The 19,490-nt window shown below is 45.2% G+C and overlaps 3 annotated features.

Moving 5' to 3' along the window:
* Positions 2,515-3,015: an enhancer, noted in NCBI's record as "NANOG-H3K27ac hESC enhancer chr8:37532700-37533200 (GRCh37/hg19 assembly coordinates)". NCBI's record gives its function as "activates a minimal SCP1, AML or CMV promoter by ChIP-STARR-seq in primed H9 embryonic stem cells {active_cell/tissue: H9 hESC(primed)}" and the evidence as "EXISTENCE:reporter gene assay evidence [ECO:0000049][PMID:30033119]".
* Positions 3,016-3,516: an enhancer, noted in NCBI's record as "NANOG-H3K27ac hESC enhancer chr8:37533201-37533701 (GRCh37/hg19 assembly coordinates)". NCBI's record gives its function as "activates a minimal SCP1, AML or CMV promoter by ChIP-STARR-seq in primed H9 embryonic stem cells {active_cell/tissue: H9 hESC(primed)}" and the evidence as "EXISTENCE:reporter gene assay evidence [ECO:0000049][PMID:30033119]".
* Positions 17,464-17,758: a silencer, noted in NCBI's record as "tiled region #5217; K562 Repressive DNase matched - State 9:DNaseU". NCBI's record gives its function as "represses a minimal TATA promoter and a strong SV40 promoter by Sharpr-MPRA in K562 cells {active_cell/tissue: K562}" and the evidence as "EXISTENCE:reporter gene assay evidence [ECO:0000049][PMID:27701403]".

A 19,490-nucleotide genomic window follows, 5' to 3' on the forward strand; every position in this document is an offset into this window, starting at 1 on the left:
ATATTAAAAAGTTGCTATGATTAAACAATTAACAGGTTTTTTAATTCCAGATCTTCACTAAGAAATAACCTGGGTCAGCCAGGCATGGTGACTCCCGTTTGTAATCCCAGCACTTTGGGAAGCCGAGGCGGGTGGATCACCTGAGGTCAGGAGTTCAAGACCAGCCTGGCCAACATGGCGAAACCCCGTCTCTGTTAAAGATATAAAAATTAGCCTGGAGTGGTGGCGTGCGCCTGTAATCCTAGCTACTGGGGAGGCTGACACAGGAGAATCGCATAAACCAGGGAGGCAGAGGTTGCAGTGGGCCGAGATCACAGCACAGCACTCCAGCCTGGGTGACAGAATGAGACTCCCTCTCAAAATTAATAAATAAACAAACAAACTAAGAAATAACCTGGATAAATTATCTTCTCTCTCTGAATTATCTTCCATCCTTTTCTGGCTTATGGCACCCACGACTTTTTTTTTTTTTTTTTTTTTTTTTGAGACGGAGTCTCACTCTATCGTCCAGGCTGGAGTGCAGTGGCGCAATCTCGGCTCACTGCAACCTCTGCCTCCCGGGTTCACGCCATTCTCCCGCCTCAGCCTCCTGAGCAGCTGGGACTACAGGTGCCCACCACCACGCCCAGCTAATTTTTTGTATTTTTAGTAGAGACGGGGTTTCACCATGGTAGCCAGGATGGATCACCTACGACTTTATAAATGCCCTTGAGTTTTTCATGATCTGTGGCTTATTTCTCCCCCAGGAAGATAGCATTTGTTTCTGATTCTTCTTCGCTTTCTTGTGGGGCATGTTACTTAGACATGGTAGGTGCTGAGGAAATATCTGTGTAATATCTGTGAAATAGCTGAATCCATACATGACAAATAAATAAAGATGACGTCAAACATCCAAGGTCTTTGCAAAACCTCCCACATATCCCTTGGCCTTGCCCGTCATATTCACTGCTGTAACCCTGAGATTTAGAAAAGAGCCTGTAAGTTGTAAGTGCTCACTCAGTACCAAGTTTTGGTTCAATGAATGAAAGCAGGAATGACAGATAATTCTGGCAGTTTGTAAAATATCTGTAGACCAAGACTTATCTCTGTGAAAGGCCTTGCTGACACTGGAATGAGTCGACATGTCTACCAACTCAGAGGGATAAGGAAAAGGCACTATACTGCTGGGTCCTGATAAGAGAAGAAGGTGTCTACAATGCTGGAGTGGACAGCAGGCTGGAGGGAGAATCATTTTGAGAAAGCCCATGTATGCGGCAGGTGCAAGTCTCCCAGGTTTGCGGTGAGCGGTTCTTACCTTGCACAGGGAGGATAGGGATGAGGGTAAATGTCTTCAGTATCTTTGAGAATTTTCTTTTTTCGTCTTTTTTTTTTTCTGAGATAGAGTCTCGCTCTGTTGTCCAGGGTGGAGTGCAGCTCACTGCAGCCTCCAACTCCTAGGCTCAAGCCATCCTCCTGCCTCAGCCTCTTAAATGGCTGGGACCACAGGTGCACCACCACACTTGGCTAATTTTTTTTTTAATTTTGTAGAGACAGGGTCTCACTGTGTTGACCAGACTGGTCTCAAATTCCTGGCCTCAAGCAATACTCCTAAGCTTGGCCTCTTAAGCCTAGCGAGAATGTTCTTTCCTCGACTAGTGAAAGTTCAGCTGTGTCTGTCAGGCTGAGCAAGTGGAGCTCCGGGGTCAGGTGGGTGGAAGAAGTTCCCGTCCTCAGTCTCCCTGCTCCACTCCTGTCTCTTTGGCGATGGGGAAGGCATGTGACGGCCTTTTTAAGGATAGAACATCACGAGTCATCTGGAACCGCCTCTTGGGGAAAGACTGTTCTCTTCCCTTAAAAAGCATGCGTTGTTCTTCCAGGACAGATGCTTGACTTCCTTCCTCCCCCTCCTCTCCACCCTTCCCTTCCCACCCTAGCCTCTCCTTCAAGCTGTCTTGCTTCCTCTTCTCTCTACTCCTGCCTTTTTCTCTGGTCCTCAGCGGGGAAAGCCAGAAGCCTAATCACAGGAGCAGAAAAAATCTCCAAACCAATACACAGAGCCCAGGAGAAATGATCTGGAGCAAAGTGCTTCTCAGGGGCTCGTGCAGCAGAAAATCAGAACTTGATCATCTGGCCTGATGTGTCTGTTCATATCCTTTGATTGCAGAAGATCAAGTTCTGGCCATCACACATGTTGATGTCTGATACAAGGCATTGCTTAGCAAAGCCCTGAACTCTGCCTCCCACCAACACCCCCAAGGCTAAGTGAGGTCAGGGGTGCTGACATTGGCCTGGCCTCATCACTCTCTGACTCTGAGACTCAGAACCTAGTATCAGGGAGATTTCATCCCCAGACCTCCTTGTCTTCTGGGGGCCTACATTCACTCATTCACAACATTCTGAGTGAGTTCTTATGTCACCTGCCTCAACAACTTTGGTTCTCCGCTTCCAATTATTTCTATCTTGGTCCATTTTCCCAGCTCTTTCTCTTTCCACCACTTTTCTCTCTGTCTCCTTCATTTCTTTCTGTTCCAGGTGCTTCACATGGCCCTGTCTGCAGGCGCCTCTCCTGTCTCTGTCTCCGGGAGCGTTCTCCTCCATCCTCCCTCCTTCCTGGGGACTCTGGGAAGTGCCTGAGTGTGGCCTTGCAGGTTGCGCCACCGCTTTCATCCCAATCCAGGTGGCTGCAATCCAGTACAGGATTTACGCTGCCCTGACCCTGAGCCGTCAAGAAGGAACAGCCAGATTAATGGGGTGGGCGGGCTGGGGTAATAATCGTTTGTTTGATGTGACAAGCCTGATAGGCGTTGATTTACTTACAGACTGATGGGCTTTTAATTGAGCACGCCATCCTAGTCACTTCAAAGGCAGGGGAAGTTGACAAGGGGCCCCTTTCACGAGGGCTCCTGGTGACTGACAGGCCCCCTCTGCTAAGACTCCCGCCTGGCCCAGGACCGGCCCGGGCAGCCCTCACCCGGCTCTGTAGCAAAGGAACACATTTTCTGTAACTCAGAAATGGCCTTTTGTCTGCTGCCAAGGAAGGCAGCCCCTGCTCGGAAGGCCTCGCATCCCTCAGAAGGTTGAGGAATAAGGAGGAATGGGGGATCCTGAGATGGGGCTGCAGAAAGGGCCTGGAGGAGGTGGGGGAGATTCCAGGCCCTTGATGTGCAAAATGGCTACTTTGTTCTGACCTCCTGTGCTGAGTCAGCCTCCTCCACCTCACTTTCTCCCCCTTCTCCTCACTTCCTCCCTCTCTCTCTCTCTCCATATGTATGTGTGTGTGTATTATATATGTATATATGTATTATATATATAATATATATCAAAATATGTATTATACATATAATATATATCAAAATATATATTATATATATTATATTTATATTATATATACATATATACTACATATATTAATATATATTCATATATAATACATATATATGAAAACATATATGTATTATATATACATATATAATACATATATATAAAATTTTCTAATTTTTAAAAAAAAATTAGAGACTGGGTCTCATTATGTTGCCCAGGCTGGTCTCAAACTCCTGGGCTCAAGGGATCCTCTAACCTTGGCCTCCCAAAGTGCTGGGATTACAGGCGTGAGCCACTGGGCCTGGCTGCTCCCTCTGTTCAGTCCCTTCTTTTTGTATTATACTTCCCAGTTCTCAGGCCCCTTCCTTCTCCCCCTCTTTCTCCTCCCACTTCCTCCTTCCTTCTCCCTCACAGGAGAGGCCAGAAAAGGTGGAGTCAGCTCCTAATGTCCCTGGAGTAGTGGCCCGTCCACAGCAGCCCCCTCCTCCCTGACAGCCACCCTTCTTCCCCCAGGCTGTAGGCTGTGAAGCCTTCAGACCAGGACCCCCTTGGACTTGGAGGTGGGGCCTTTACAGCAAACCCCTCTCTCCTATAGACAGCACTACAATGAACAGGGTCCACAGACACCCACGCTTAAGGCCAGGGACTCAGGCTCGGTGCAGTTTCTGTCCTATTCTTGTTTGGTCTGGAAGATGCTAGACCAAATGTGATTAATATTAAAACAGAGGTTTTATTCTGTTTGAAATATTAGAAAACATTCTTTATCAAGGATGTTCTGTCAAAATGGATTTGCTTTGGTTTTGTTTTGTTCAAGTCCCATAGGACACAGTCCCTGACCTCTAGGAGGAGCGACCTTCTACATCAGCCCCCAAACTTCCTCACTAAGTGGGGAGTGGGGATGGAGGGGAGATCAGTGAGACTCCCACCCTGCAGGAGCTTTGAGTTCTAAGTCAGGCCCCTTTAGTGACTGCCAGAGACTGTAGGCAAGCCCTGTTCCCGGCATTCCTCTTTTTTTCCCTGTGGTAACTTACCCAAGCACACAGAGCCAGGCCCTGGCTAGAAAGACCATGCATTCCATCCCATCATTTCATTTGGAAAGGACTTTCTTTTCTTTTCTTTTCTTTTTTTTTTTTTTTTTTTTTTTTTTTGACAGAGTCTTGCTCTGTCGCCAGGCTGGAGTGCAGTGGCTCAATCTCAGTTCACTGCAACCTCCGCCTCCCGGGTTCAAGCGATTCTCTTGCCTCAGCCTCCTGAGTAGCTGAGACTACAGGTGCACGCCACCACACCCAGCTAATTTTTGTATTTTTAGAAGAAATGGGGTTTCACCATGTTGGCCAGGATGGTCTCGATCTCTTGACCTCGTGATCCACCTGCCTCGGCCTCCCAAAGTGCTGGGATTACAGGCGTGAGCCACCACACCTGGAGGCACTTTCACATATATTATCTTAATTAATCTTTTAACAACTGTGGGAGGTAGATAAGCGCAATGTTACTATGCCCATTAGACAGATGATAAAATTGAGACTCAAAGGATGATGTGCTCCTAAGAGGCAAAACTGGGTCTCAAACTGGGGGATTCTCCTGCTTCTTCTTCCACCACCCCTCACTGCGTCCCAGTGACTATTGCCCCATTCCTCTGGAAGCTGCATTTTCTCACTCTAAACAGGTGGTTTAGAGGCCATGTATTTTTCCCCCTTTTAGGTTCTTCCCTGATTTCCCCACCCTCCTGGCCTCGGTGTCCAGAATCAGAAAGCCTCTAGCCCTCACCTTACAAGGCAGAGCTCTCCCGCTGGTGTCTGTCTCAAAGCTCACTTACAAATGTTACCTGAGAGCCTGATATTCCCTCAAGATTTGCTACTCCCAGCTCTCCTCTCATCCACAGAAGAAAGGGCCATAGGTGAGGTGCCCGGGCCTTTGGTTCTCTGCTGTGAAGAACGTGTTCACTAAAGTAGCTCATGACCTGTTGGAGGGATATTTCCCACTGCAGAGCTAAGCCCTAGGGCCAACGCTTGAGAGAAATCAATTAACTCTCCCTTCTCTGCCTCTATGCCTTGAATCTAATATTTCCACAGAAATATTAATGCCCTGAGATATTATGGCTTGTTTACACGTTGGTCCCCTCACTAGAGAGTCCAATCCTTTACGGCAAGTACATATCTTTTCATCTTATATCGCCAGGGCTCAATAGTGCAAGTTTAGCTGAAATGTTTTTTGTTGAAAGTTTTGTTGGCCCAGACTGTGTGGTGGTTCATGCCTGTAATCTCAGCACTTTGTGAGGCCGAGGAGGGGGAATTGCTTGAGCCCAGGAGTTTGAGACCAGCCTGGGCAACAGGGTGAAACCCCATATCTACAAAAAATAAAAACATTAGCTGGGCATATTGGCATGCTCCTGTAGCCCCATTGACTCAAGAGGGTCAGGTGAGAGGATCAATTGGGCCTGAGAGGTCAAGGGTGCAGTGAGCTGTGAGCACACCACTGCACTCCAGCCTGGGTGACAGAGTAAGATCTTGTCTCAAAAGAAAAGAAAACAGAAGAGAAGAGAAGAGAAAAGAAAGAGAAGGAACTAAGGAAGGAACGAACCAAAGAAGGAAGGAAGGAAGGAAGGAAAGTTGGTTTTGTGTGAAAGGCTGAATAGTGAACTGGTGGAGTCAAACAGCCTACGAGAATTTCAATCCCAGCTCCACTGCTTGACAGCTAGTGTTGGACAAGGCATTTAAATGTTCCATGCCTCAGTCTCCTCATCTACAAAATGGGACAAAAATAGTACCTACCTCATAAAGTTACATTATGAGGCTTTCATGAGTTAATAACATATTTCATCTCATCTGCAATGCGCTGTTATTTTAGGTCCAACAAAGAAAGAAAACAACTGCTGTTAAATGATCAGTGACATGGTGCCTTTTTTATCAGTGTCAGAGATGTTTAAAATGTAGGGAAAATGCATCTTAGAATTGATTAGTGATCTCTGTGTGAAACACACAGAACAGTCGTTGGCACACAGCACCTGCTATGAGAGTGAGAGCTACTGTCTGTCATTGCTGTTGAACTGAATTCTCACAAGAACCTGATGATGAGTTCACTTAATCCTCATTTTACAGATGAGGAAATAGAAATTCAGAGAGCTGAAGTGGCTTGACCAAGCTCACTCTGCCAGGGAGTACGCGAAGGCATTTAAACCTGCCTTTGAGGTGCAATAATCTATAGTGATTACAGTTGCTGGCAGCCGCCCACCAAGCTACCAGGGAGTTAGGAGCTGGGTTTTGTTCTCAATTGCATTCTCTTTCCTTAATCTAAGCTTTTTTTCCCCTCTGGTATAATTAATCTCCTTATTCCTCCCCCTCCTCCTTTTTACTTGGCTCTGATCTTTCTACCTTTCTGCTAATGGCTTCAGGTTTTACTGCATCTGCTATGAAATCGTAAGCAACCTCAGATCTTTTATGGCGGTAGAAGGAGTATAAATAAATATAAAGGCAAAAACTGGCTTTTAAAGATGACAGGTAGCAAGAAAAAAGATAGAGAGAATATGCCCACAATCACATGTGGGGTGTGTAGGCTCCACATGGACACACTGAGGGACAGCCCAGCCAGTGCCCACCCAGACACCCTGCCCCCTGGCTCCCTCCAGCCTTCTGTGAGAGCTTCTGATGCCAAGTGCCCTGATAAAATATGCAGAAAGCTCCACATGCCCCTCAAGCCAGTTGTTGGCCACACCAGACTCTTTCTCCCATGAACCAGTGAGACACTATGGCTTGGAGGGGACGTTTGATGGGGGAGGGAAGTGGTTACAATTAACTCTTCTAGAACCTTCTCTGGCTCTGTTTGGCACCTCCAAAGAAGCAGCAGCTACTTGAAAGTGTAAGTTTCTAGCTTGCTATTGCAATGAGTCTGAAGCAAAGGAAGGAATCCTGTTACCTCCAAATGGAACCCATGTAAAAGGTATATCACTGTTTTTACCATCAAAAAAAAAGTCTTGACCAGGTACTGTGCCTCACACCTGTAATCCCAACATATTGGGAGGCTAAGGCAGGAGGATGCTTAAGGCCAGGAATTCGAGACCACCCTGGCAACATAGCAAGACCCCTTCTCTACAAGAAAAAAAAATGTTTAAAATTTGCCAGCATAGTGACACACACCTGTCATCCCAACTACTCTGGAGGATGAGGCGGGAGGATCGCTTGAGCCCAGGAGTTTGAGTCTGAAGGGAGCTAAGATCACAGAACTGCATTCCAGCCTGGTCAACAGAGCAAGACACTGTCTCTAAAACAAGGAAAGGAGAGGAGAGGAGAGGGGAGGGGAGGGGAGGGGAGAGGAGAAAAGAAGAGAAAAGAAGAGAAGACAAGAGAAGAGAAGAGAAAAGAAAAGAAAAGAAAAGAAAAGAAAAGAAAAGAAAGCCTCTAGGATATACTTTATTTGGGATTTTGTAGTAGTCATCCCACAACCTTAAGTGGCTGTCACAGGTCACAGAAGGATGCCACTCCTGAATCATTCCCCCAAGTGATGAGCCCCAATATTCTGCCACTTCGGCCAGGTTTGCCACGCTCACCTTAACAGATAATGAATGAAATATGTCACAGTATCATACTGAGTTTTTTCCTCCCAAATAGGGAGGCCATGGGCCGGCTAGAGGGTTGTATTTGTGAATTTGCTTGAGTTTGTCAGGATGGGATCAGGAATGGTCAGTGGGGAGACGGTTTCTCCCAAACTTCTCCCCACTCTCCCACATGGCCTGTAACCTATTGAGTTAAAGGCTGGGTGAGGAAGAGGTTTTTAAAAGGACAATTGCATTTGGGAGGTTTGCCAGGGCAGGGAGGGAGAGCATGCCATCCTTCAGTAGCCTGAATGCAGCATACAGTCTTTCCAGTTCCGAATAAAATGTACTCAAGGCTCAGATCCATCAGACAAAGAAAGATACATCAGCAGAGGAGGGGAAAGATGAAAATGCGAGTCCAGCTCTTCATTCATGTACATGTAGTTCATCTCTAAGGCTTCCAAGAAAGCAGCCGCACACCAAATCCCTTCCGATGCTGTCTGTATCTGAGCCTCCTGTGAGATAATCCTCTTAATGGAATATTTAAGAAATCGGATATAAATCACCAACCTTTTATCTCACCTGCAGATTCATATACCATAGGACGTATTGTGTATATGTCTATCTACATATAGATGGTTGCAGCTGCTTTTATGAGTGGATATTGCCATGTTTTTAGGCTCAATATGTTTTTCAATATCTAAACCTATTTTTTTCCTGGAGATATGGGTGCAAAAATATAAATTTTAGAGCTCGGAGCCCAGAAAATAGATGTACCTAGAGAAGTTTCAAAATTAAAACACACATCCCTCTGAAAATCTTCTTTGTCATTTGCAGCCACTAAAAATGCCTATTGTTATGATGCACTCATAAATAACTTGATTTTGGCATATGCTTTTATACCATACAGAAAATGAATAAATTAAATTTGATTTACCACCTTTTTCATTTTTATTAGCACTACTCTGAAGAGTTTATGTAAGGGACGTGCCAGAGCAGTTATGCCAAATGTTTTAAGGCATTGGTATTGATATTATATAAATTAAGGTGTTTTAATTTGCATTCTTTGATTAACTAAATACTGGCAGAAAAATAAAACACAAGGGCAGCCCTGAGTTATTGCCTCTATTAAACTGCTGACATCTCCAAAAAGACGCTTTAAGTAATTCAATCCATGCGGTGGGTAGGAGGGGGATATTAACGCTCTCTTATTTGGCAAAACCTATTGGGGTTAAAGAAACCAATATCATGCTTTGCTTGCAGAGTGGTAAGGGACTGGGTGTGTTCTAAGAAGGTCTGAATTTGTGTCCCCAAGGAGAAGTTAACTAAATGCTTTTAATTCTCTGCCCTGCCCAGGCCTGAGCTCGGCGGGCTGCTGGGTGCAGGGCCCTGGAGACCTCTGCTGGCTATCTTTGCCCCCAGGGCTGAATCCCTGACAACTTGAGAAGTGACAAACTGGTTGAATTAATTAAGTAGATTCCATATCAACATAATTTTACCAGAAACAACAAGAGGAATCATCAAAGACCCTTCAGCAGAGCTGGCTGCTCCCAGTCCATCCTCTTCATCACACTTGGGCCCCCAAACCATGAAAAGAAGTTTTCTCAAAAGATGTGCAAAAGCTACTCACCATAGCAAAGACATGGAATCAACCTAAGTGCCCATCAACAGTGGACTGGATAAAGAAAACATGGTATCTATACACTATGGAATACTACACAGCCATAAAAAAAATAATGAAATCATGTTCTTTGCAGCAACGTGGATAGACCTGGGGGCCATTATCCTGAGAATCAGTGCAGGAATAGAAAACCAAATATTGCATGTCATCACTTATAAGTGGGAGCTAAACATGGGGTACACATGGAAATAAAGATGGCAAGAATTGACACTGGGGACTACTGGGGGGCGGGGCAAGGGCTGAAAAACTAACTATTGGGTACAATGCTCACTACCTGGGTGACAGGATCAACCGTACCCCCAAACCTCAGCATCGTGCAATATATCTATGTAACAAACCTGCACATGTACCCCCTGAATCTAAAATAAAAGTTGAATATTTTAAAGAAAGAAAGAAAAAGGCTATCCGAGTTTTAAAACATTTTAAAAAATAAAATTAAAAAGATGTGCCAGGAGTACTCTAACTCCCTTCCAAACCCTGGGTCTCATCACCACCTCCTGAGACTTTTTAAAAAATTTCCCATCACAGAGGAAACAGCAGCTTCTTTCTCGGCTAAGTAAATGCTTTCTTTTCCCTCCTTGCCCTCATGTGTTCTTGATTTTTGCTCTGTTTCTCCTCTCTCTCCTGTAGGACACAAGTAAACTCTGCTAAGTTCTCATCTTCTTTAATTCTCCCTCCAGATTTTTAAGAGGGAGCAGCCCTAAGGAGAGGATTACAATCGCCAGTTGGTAGCCATAGGAAAGGAATTGATCCCAAGCACAGGCTGAGACAACTGTATTTGTCTTCCCTAAGGCCAATGAATCCTCAGTGAACTGTCTGTACAACAGCCTTTACTGTTCTGTTGACATTCTGAGGACATCTGTCTTGCATTCTTCACCACGTCTGGGAAGCCTCATGTCTAGGGGCCTCATAGATACCTGCTAAGTTGACCTGAGACATCACGCAGGCATCATGGGGCTGGGGAGTGGAGTTCACCTTCTCCTGGCCCCCACATGACCTTGGCATTTTCATACAGCAATGTCTCTTGTGAGAGGGCCCCATAAGAAGCAGTTCAAGGGCACCCCAAGCCCTAATGCCCAAGTCTCTGAGTACTGTTATTATGCAATGTCCTTACCCCAGCTTTCTTCTTAAGACGGAGTCTCGCTCTATCACCCAGGCTGGAGTGCAGTGGCGTGATCTCGGCTCACTACAACCTCTGCCTCCCAGGTCAAGCGATTCCCCTGCCTCAGCCTCCCGAGTAGCTAGGATTATAGGCACACACCACCAGGCACATCCAGCTAATTTTTGTATTTTTAGTAGAGATGGGGTTTCACCATTTTGGACAAGCTGGTCTCGAACTCCTGACCTCAAGTGATGCACCTGCCTCGGCCTCCCAAAATGCTGGGATTACAGACGTGAGCCACCACGCCCAGCCCTGAATGTTTTTTTTACTTTTTATTTTTTAAGACAGGGTTTCACTGTGTCACCCAGGCTGAAATGCAGTGGTGTGATCACAGCTCACTGCAGCCCCGAACTCCTAGACTCAAGAGATCTTCCCACTTCAGCTTCCCAATTAGCTGGGATTATAGGTGTGCATCCCCACGGTCAGCTGCTGCTGCTTTTTTTTTTTTTTTTTTGGAGACCTGGAGTTCTCCTTGCTTTCTTACCCAGGCTGGTCTCGAACTCTTGGGCTCAAGCGATCCTTCCACCTCAGCCTCCCAAAGTGCTGGGATTACAGGCATGAGCCACCACCACGCCTGGCCCTGGGTAGTTTGCTTTATTTGTTCAAGGAAGAAAGCATAAATTCCAACAGTTGATAAGGAAAACACTTCTCCTTTGCCAGCCTCCTATCTCATCCTCCCTAATTTAAAAAAAATCTCACTTTCTTGTCGTTTCCCATCTTGCAGCTCTTGTCAGTTGTTTTAAAACAACTGTTTTAAAACATGTCTCCTGTCATCAATAAAGTCATCATTATGCATTTTGGCTGCAGTGATGAAAAATTCACCCAGCTTAGAGAGAGGACAGAGACCTGGGAGAGCCCATTCAGGCCTGATGGGAAGTGAGAATAAACATAAGGAAAAGGACACATTCGACTCATGGTTTTTAACTGCTGTCGCTTTTCTGGTTCTGGTTGGTTTGATTTTGTTGTTGTTGCTGTTTAGTTATTTGTACATTGGTTTATTTCTTTAAGGAAATTAAGGAGAAAAACAAACACACCCTGGAAGAAAGCAGTGGTGCTGACCTCATCAATGTCAGGCCTCGAGAGACACAGAAGGAGTGCCTCAGGATGCCCAGTGACTGTTCTTCAGCACACGGGGCAGCAAGTGACACAGACGCAGTGGGTGACACAGAACTAGAATTCTTGCTAGAAGTTTACTTTAGACATCCTGGAATTTCCACTCATCCTGACTCTACAAGCACATCAAGATACTGACCAGTCCTGATCCTTCTTCCCAGTGTCACAGAGTCAAAGTCACTCACAAAGAGTGCAGTTTGACCCCGAGGCCCAAGCCCGGGACTGATGGTGAAGAGACGAAAGTTGGGCTTCAGCTACTGGGGAGGCTGAGGTAGGGGGATCGATTGAGCCTGGGAGATCAAGGCTGCAGTGGGTCAAGATCATGTCACTGCACTCCAGCCTAGGCAACAGAGCAAGACCCTGTCTCAAAAAAAAAAAAAATGGGGGGCTTGAGCTGTGAGTCTTTGCAATGAGAAGCTGTGTAAACCAAAATGCCTAGTGAATGAGAGACTCTGCTTGACTGTTTTTTTCTTCGTAAATGGTTGATAAAGCAGAAAATTCTCAACATCTCTGCCCTTGTTGAGAAATTATATAGATGCGCCCTTTGTACCTTTAAATTTTGCAGGTAATACCTATGCAAAAAATAAATAAAAACAAGGACAAAATAAAAACAACTTTCCTGCCCTGGTGAGTCCTCTACTAACAATAATTATTTATTTCATGTTTTGATATCTTCCAGTGCTTTACAGTTCTCATTCGGGCAATTCATGATTAAGCCTGAAGATGAACCTCTGCTGACACTACCAAAATCATTTCATATATTTATTGTCTTTGACATAACCTTTGCCTTTTTATGAACATGATCCAAAAAGGTCTGGATAAACCAGAGTTTTAATTAGGTTTCAGTTACTGGAAATTCTGCTTTGTTAAAATATCTATTTGTCAATATCCTGGATTCTTTTAGGCTAGCTTTGATGTATTCCTCTCCTCCTTCTTCTCTTACTAAAGGATGGAGAGGGTGGGAAGGGGAGAAGGGGAACATGAGAAGCATGATATTTACTTAAATCCAAAGATGGAAATGCAACCACTTCCTCTATGAGCCTTTATAGTTCTCCAAATGAATGTGACCAGAAGGTCCCAGAGGCATTTCCTGTGTATTCCTGCTCACACCCCAAAGCTGAATTTCTTTCTTTTTTTTTTTAACTGAGTCTCACTCTGTCACCCAAGCTGGAGTGCGGTGGTGAGATCTTAGTTCACTGCAACCTCTGCCTCCCGGGTTCAAGTGATTCTCCTGCCTCAGCCTCCCGGGCTCAAGTGATTCTCCTGCCTCAGCCTCCCAAGTAGCTGGAACTACAGGCACGCACCACCATGTCTGACTAATTTTTGTATTTATTAATACAAAAATAATAATTATTATTATTTTTGTAATTATTAATAATTTTGTATGTTGTAGAGATAGGGTTTCACCATGTTGGCCAGGCTGGTCTCAAACCCCTGACCTCAAGTGATCCACCCGCCTTGGCCTCCCAAAGTGCTGGGATTACAGGTGTGAGTCACCACAGCTGGCCCCAAAGCTGAATTTCTAACACACTCCAAGGCTACCCTACCAATTTTCTTAAAACAGAGTTGTTCTGAACGCATATAGCTTTTGACCCAACAATTCTACTCCTAGGAATTTCCCCCATACTCATGCTAGCACACATTGAGAATAAATGACATACATATATATGACATTATATGTATACAATGACATATATAGTTATGCACTGCAGGAGCAAAAGGTTAAAACTATCTAAATGTCAGCCAGGCGCAGTGGCTCATGCCTGTAATCCCAGCACTTTGGGAGGCTGAGGTCAAGAGATGGAGACCCACCTGGCCAACATGGTGAAACCCGGTCTCTACTAAAAACACAAAAATTAGCTGGGCGTGGTAGCATACACCTGTAGGCCCAGCTACTCGGGAGGTTGAGGCAGGAGAATCGCTTGAACCAAGGAGGCAGGAGGTTGCAGTGAGCCGAGACTGAGCCACTATACTCCAGCCTGGCATCAGAGCAAGACTCTGTCTCAAAACAACAACAACAACAAAAAAAAAAAAAACTAAATATCTAGCTGTAGGGGAGTGGTTAAATAAACTGTGGCATATCCATGTAACAATGCTGTGGAACTGGAATAAATAAATAAACAAAACATAGAAGCCCATGAAACAATCTCTAAAATATATTATCTTTAAGAAATAAAAATAAAAATAAATAAAAAGCAAGTACAGAACAGTTCATATAGTATATTCCCATTTGTTTATAAAAGGGGGAAAGAGGCCAGGCACAGTGGCTCATGCCTGTAATCCCAACACCATAGGAAGCCGAGGCAGAAGGATCACTTGAGCCCAAGAGTTCAAGACCAGCCTGGGCAACATAGCAATACCCCCATCTCTACAAAAATTTTTTAAAAATTAGCTGGGTATGGTGGCATGCACCTGTGATCCTAGCTACTTGGGAGACTGAGGTAGAAGGATCACTTGAGCCCAGGAGGTTGGGAGTGCAGTGAGTTGTGATTGTGCCACTGCACTCCAGCCTCAGCGCCTGCACGAGATTCTATTTTTTAAAAAAAAGGGGTGGCAGCAATTCACAATTGCAGAAATATGGAACCAGCCCAAATGCCCATCAATCAATGAGTGGATAAAGAAATTGTGGCATGTATATATATATATATATATATATATATATATATATATATATAAAAAATACTACTCAGCCATAAAAAAGGAATGAATTAATGGCATTCACAGAAACCTGGATGGAATTGAAGACCATTATTCTAAGTGAAGTAACTCAGGAATGGAAAAGTAAACACTGTACGTTCTCACTCATAAGCAGGAGCTAAGCTATGAGGATGAAAAGGCCTAAGAATGATACAATGGACTTTGGGGACTCAGGGGAAAGAGTGGATGGGTGACAGATAAAAGACTACAAATTGGGTTCAGTGGATACTGCTTAGGTGATGGGTGCACCAAAATCTCACAAATCCCCACTAAAGAACTTACTCATGTAACCATGTAACCAAATACCACCTGTTCCCCAAAAACCTATGGAAATTAAAAATGCAGCCGGGCGCAGTGGCTCACGCCTGTAATCCCAGCACTTTGGGAGCCCAAGGCGGGCAGATCACCTGAGGTCGAGAGTTCCAGACCAGCCTGACCAACATGGAGAAACCGTCTCTACTAAAAATACAAAATTAGCCAGGTGTGGTGGCACAGGAGAATCGCTTGAACCAGGGAGGCAGAGGTTGCGGTAAACCGAGATCGCGCCATTGCACTCCAGCCTGGGCAACAAGAGTGAAACATCGTCTCAAAAAAAAAAAAATCACCACTAAAGAACTTACTCATGTAACCAAATACCACCTGCTCCCCAAAAACCTATGGAAATAAAAAAAAAGTTTAAGGGTGGCGGAAGAAAATATATATATATATATGTATTTGCCAATATGTGAAAAAATACCTCTGGAAGGATGGGCAATAAACTCAAAGCACTGATGCACTGAGAATGATCAACAGCTGGAAGAAGGTTTTTTCCACTCATAGCTTTGGAAATTGGTGCCATGGGAATGCACTTCATTATAAATAAATAAAATGCATTTTTCGACAAACTTAAAAATAATTCTAAATCACTTTTAAAGGGGGCTTGTTATGTAAATCCCCACTCTGAATGAACCATTATACTTTTGGCCATGAGTTTGGTTGGGGCCGCACTTCTCAGGCCCCCTTCTCCAAGCAGAGGCTGGCAGAGGGCCACTGAAATAAACACTCCTTGAAATTTTCCTGACATCTTAGAATTTGGTTTTATCAAATACAACTTGCGATCATCAAGTCACTTCCTGAACAGCTCCCCTTTTTCTCGAATTGTGTTTGTTTAAATGAATTTGGAGCTGCCCATCCCAGCTTGGAAGACTGGCCGAGAAAGGGGCACATTTTGGACAAGCCTAGACGTTTATTCCTTAGAAAGGGGGTCATGGAAATATCATCACCTTCATGACTAAAGCCACGGCGAGGGTCAGAACCAGGTGATAACTCACAGCCTGACACCCAGCAAGGTCTTCTGGAGGGGCTGAGGTTTCCTGTGGTTCTGGCTAGCGGTCACTCAATGCAGGGAAGGGCAGGATGCTGGGGGGCACAATGCCCTCAGGTAAGCATGGGCCCTGCTTCTTATTTCAGGGGCCTTTCACTCTAATCCTGGATTCCCCTTCCACCCAAGTGAGAGAAGGTGCATGAACACACCTAGAATAATGCCTGCACCCAGAAGCTGCTCGGTAAACGTTACTGGAAATCTGAATTTAATTTGAAGTAAATGCACTTAAAAAAGAAGTGGGGGTCAGGTGCAGTGGCTCAGGCCTGTAATTCCAGCACTTTGAGAGGCCAACGAGGGCAGATCACTTGAGGTCAGGAGTTCAAGACCAGCCTGGCCAACATGACCCCGTCTCCACTGAAAATACAAAAATTAGCCAGGCATGGTGGCGTGCACCTGTAATCCAGCTACTTGCAAGGCTGAGGCAGGAGAATAGCTTGAACCTGGGAGGCCGAGGCTGCAGTGAGCTGAGATCATACCACCACACTCTAGTCTGGGCAACAGTGTAAGACTCCATCTCAAAGAAAAAAAAAAAGTGGGTGGGCCAGCGCAGTTTCTCATGCCTGTAATCCCAGCACTTTTGGTGGTCAAGGCAGGAGGCTTGCATGAGGCCAAGACCAGCCCTGGCAACACAGCAAGACCCCAATCTCTACCAAAAAAAAAAAAAAATTAAAAATGAGCTTGGTGTGGTGGCATGCACGTGTAGTCCCAGCTACTCTGGAGGCTGAGGTGGGAGGAGCACTTGTGCCCAGGATTTTGAAGCCGTGATTGCACCACTGAGGTCTAGCCTGGGCAACAGAGCGAGACCCTATCTCAAACAAACAAACAAACAAAAAATCAGGGAGCAACTGAAAGATGGGGATACTAAGCAGGATTTCAATTACAGCCTCCTGACTTTTTTATTTCTTAATCTGCAAAAGGAGCACGCAGATGCAGAGAGGATAGGAACGTGCAGCTGCTGAATGTGCATCATCGAGAGACAGGCACGGGGCTTGCTGGCTTCCTCTGGTCTTTACCCACCATGAAATCGCCTTGAGCCTTCACCTACCAAGTGGTCCATAAAGAGTAACTGAATGCATGATTAATTGAGTTAATCAATTCAATCTAATCAATTAATGGAATAAATGGAAGCTCCCCTCACTTCCTTCTCTGCCTCAGTTTTCTCCCTCCCCTATTTCTCATTTCTCAAGATGAAAGGAAAATCTGATGGAGAAGACCAGCCCTCTGGAAAATGATCAATTTGTCTTCAGTTTCTCCTCCTGCTCTCTCTGACTTTAAGCCTCCCTCTCCTTCAGTCCCGCACTCTGTAGAGTGGAGTGGCTCAGGAACCAACTATCTGGACTTGAATCCTGGATCTACCACTTTCTAGCAGTGTAACTCAGGCAAGTTGCTTAACCTCTCTGGGCCTCACCTACAAAACAGTACCTTACCTATAAAACAGGCATAATAATAGTGCTCACCATGGTTTGCTGTGAGAAGTAAATGAGTTATTACAGGCAAGGTGCTCAATACAGTGTCTAGCAGGATAAGTGTTCAATAGATGTTATTATTATCCTGGGAGGAACACTCACTCTGCTAACCACAATTGGCTGATAAAAAGGGTTTGACGCCTCCCAGCAACATTAGCGACTTAAAAGAGGAATCTCTAAGAAACTTGAAGGTCCAAAGGAACAAAGCAGTCAGGGGTGAATGCCCAGGGCTAGCGTTGATGTATCAGGGCAGGTCAGGCTAAGGAAGGAGAACTTCAAAATCACACCTACTCCATCTCCCCGGCCTAGCTCCCCAGGAGCTGATAGGAGATAAACCAAACCACCCTCTTCAAAGCAGCTGCTCAAGGACCGGGATCAAACGCACAGGCTTGGAGACAAGCTTTGGTCCGCACTTCCTTTTGTCCCTTCCTCCCCACCACATCTCTAGAGGAAATTCTTAGGTGAGGAAAAGGAGTTCATTCTTCCTTCTTTTATCAAAAGGAGTTAGCTCTCTGTCCACACAACAACAGTGGCAGAAGGCAATAGACCAAGAACCAGGGAAGGGACCGAGAAGGACTCATTCTGTGCCCATTCTGCCAGCCTTTTGCTGTGTGTGACTTTGGACGCTCCCTTAAGCTCTCCGAGCCCATTTCCTCATCTGTCAAACAAGGATAATAACACCTGCCCAAAGGAAAGAAAATTGCTGTGAGATGCTGGACCCAAAGATGCATTTGGGGCCAGGCGCAGTGGCTCACGCCTGTAATCCCAGCACTTTGGAAGGCTGAGGCAGGAGGATCACCTGAGGTCAAGAGTTCAAGACCAGCCTGGCCAACGTGGTGAAACCCTGTCTCTACTAAAAATACAAAAATTAGCTGGGCATGATGGTGGGCGCCTGTAATCCCAGCTACTTGGGAGGCTGAGACTGGAGGAGAATCGCTTGCACCCAGGAGGCGGAGGTTGCAGTGAGCCAAGATCACGTCACTGCACTCCAGCCTGGGCAACAGAGCAAGACTCTGTCTCAAAAAAACAATGCATTTGGGAAAAGGTACTTTAACATGTTTATACAATCAACATTTTGAAAAATACAATCATCCGTGTTAAACCTTTTGGGAATACAGTGAGGTGTGATATAAATAAATAGCCCTATTTTTGTAAAATTCTTCGTTCATCAGAAACATTCACTGGGTACTAACTGCACTGAGACTGCCTGGACCTGGATTTGACACTCCAGGCTCACCTCCTACCAGCTTGGGCCTTGGGCAAGTTACTTAACCTTTCTGTGCCTGTGAAATGGAAGTAACCATAGGACCCATCTCCTAAGGTTTCTGCAAGGATTAAATGAGAGAATGCACGCAAAGTGCTTAGAACAGCGTTTGGCACTCAACGTTGGCTACTGTGGTGATGGTGAACCGCTCTGTTAGGCAATAAGTACACAAAGAGGATGAGGAAAACAAGAAGCATTCACAGTCCAGTGGGAGATCAGACAAGGAAGCAAATAGTGGCAGATGCCATGTGATAGGTGTAATAATAGAACATAATACCAACTGTGAGAATGTAGAAGAGGGAGCCTCTTGAGTCATCGGTGGGGCGGGCTTCCTGCAGGGCTGGCTGTCCTGGTCTTAGCCTGCTTGCTCCCACTGTTCCCTGGTGCCCCTCTCGTGCCCCAGGCTGTGTCTGAAGCCGGGGGATGGGGCAGACAGAGGAAGCGCCTTCAAGTGCCCTGAGTGCAGTGTGCTAAATCAGGGCTCCCGGCCAAAGCAGTAATTGCCAGCCGCTGAAAGATATTAAGCGCCAGGGAGGAAAACCAAGTTCTCTATGAGGCAGACTTTTCAGAGTTCTTACAGCTTGTAAAAAAAAAAAAAATGTAAATAGTTACCCAGTGAGATATTATTTCATGTTGTTGCCATTAGGGTTTGAGTGTTATGCAGAGAGAGGAGAGAGAGGCGATCATTCAGGCAATTCTGCCTCGGCAAGGACTGAAAACTACACATTAACCCCACACAACAAATCTACCCCCTCTAGGTCTTAACCTGACTCGAGCATTTTTTCCTGGGTGGTGAATTTTATGTAAATTGAAGTAGTGAAAAAATAATCTATACATATTCACAGTTTCTTAAAGGATTTTCTTGATGGCTTCTAGGGAGGGATGGGCTATTTTTTTTTTTTTTTAAGACACATTG

The sequence above is a fragment of the Homo sapiens genome, chromosome 8 (assembly GCF_000001405.40).
Source record: "Homo sapiens chromosome 8, GRCh38.p14 Primary Assembly".
NCBI classification, from domain to species: domain Eukaryota; kingdom Metazoa; phylum Chordata; class Mammalia; order Primates; family Hominidae; genus Homo; species Homo sapiens.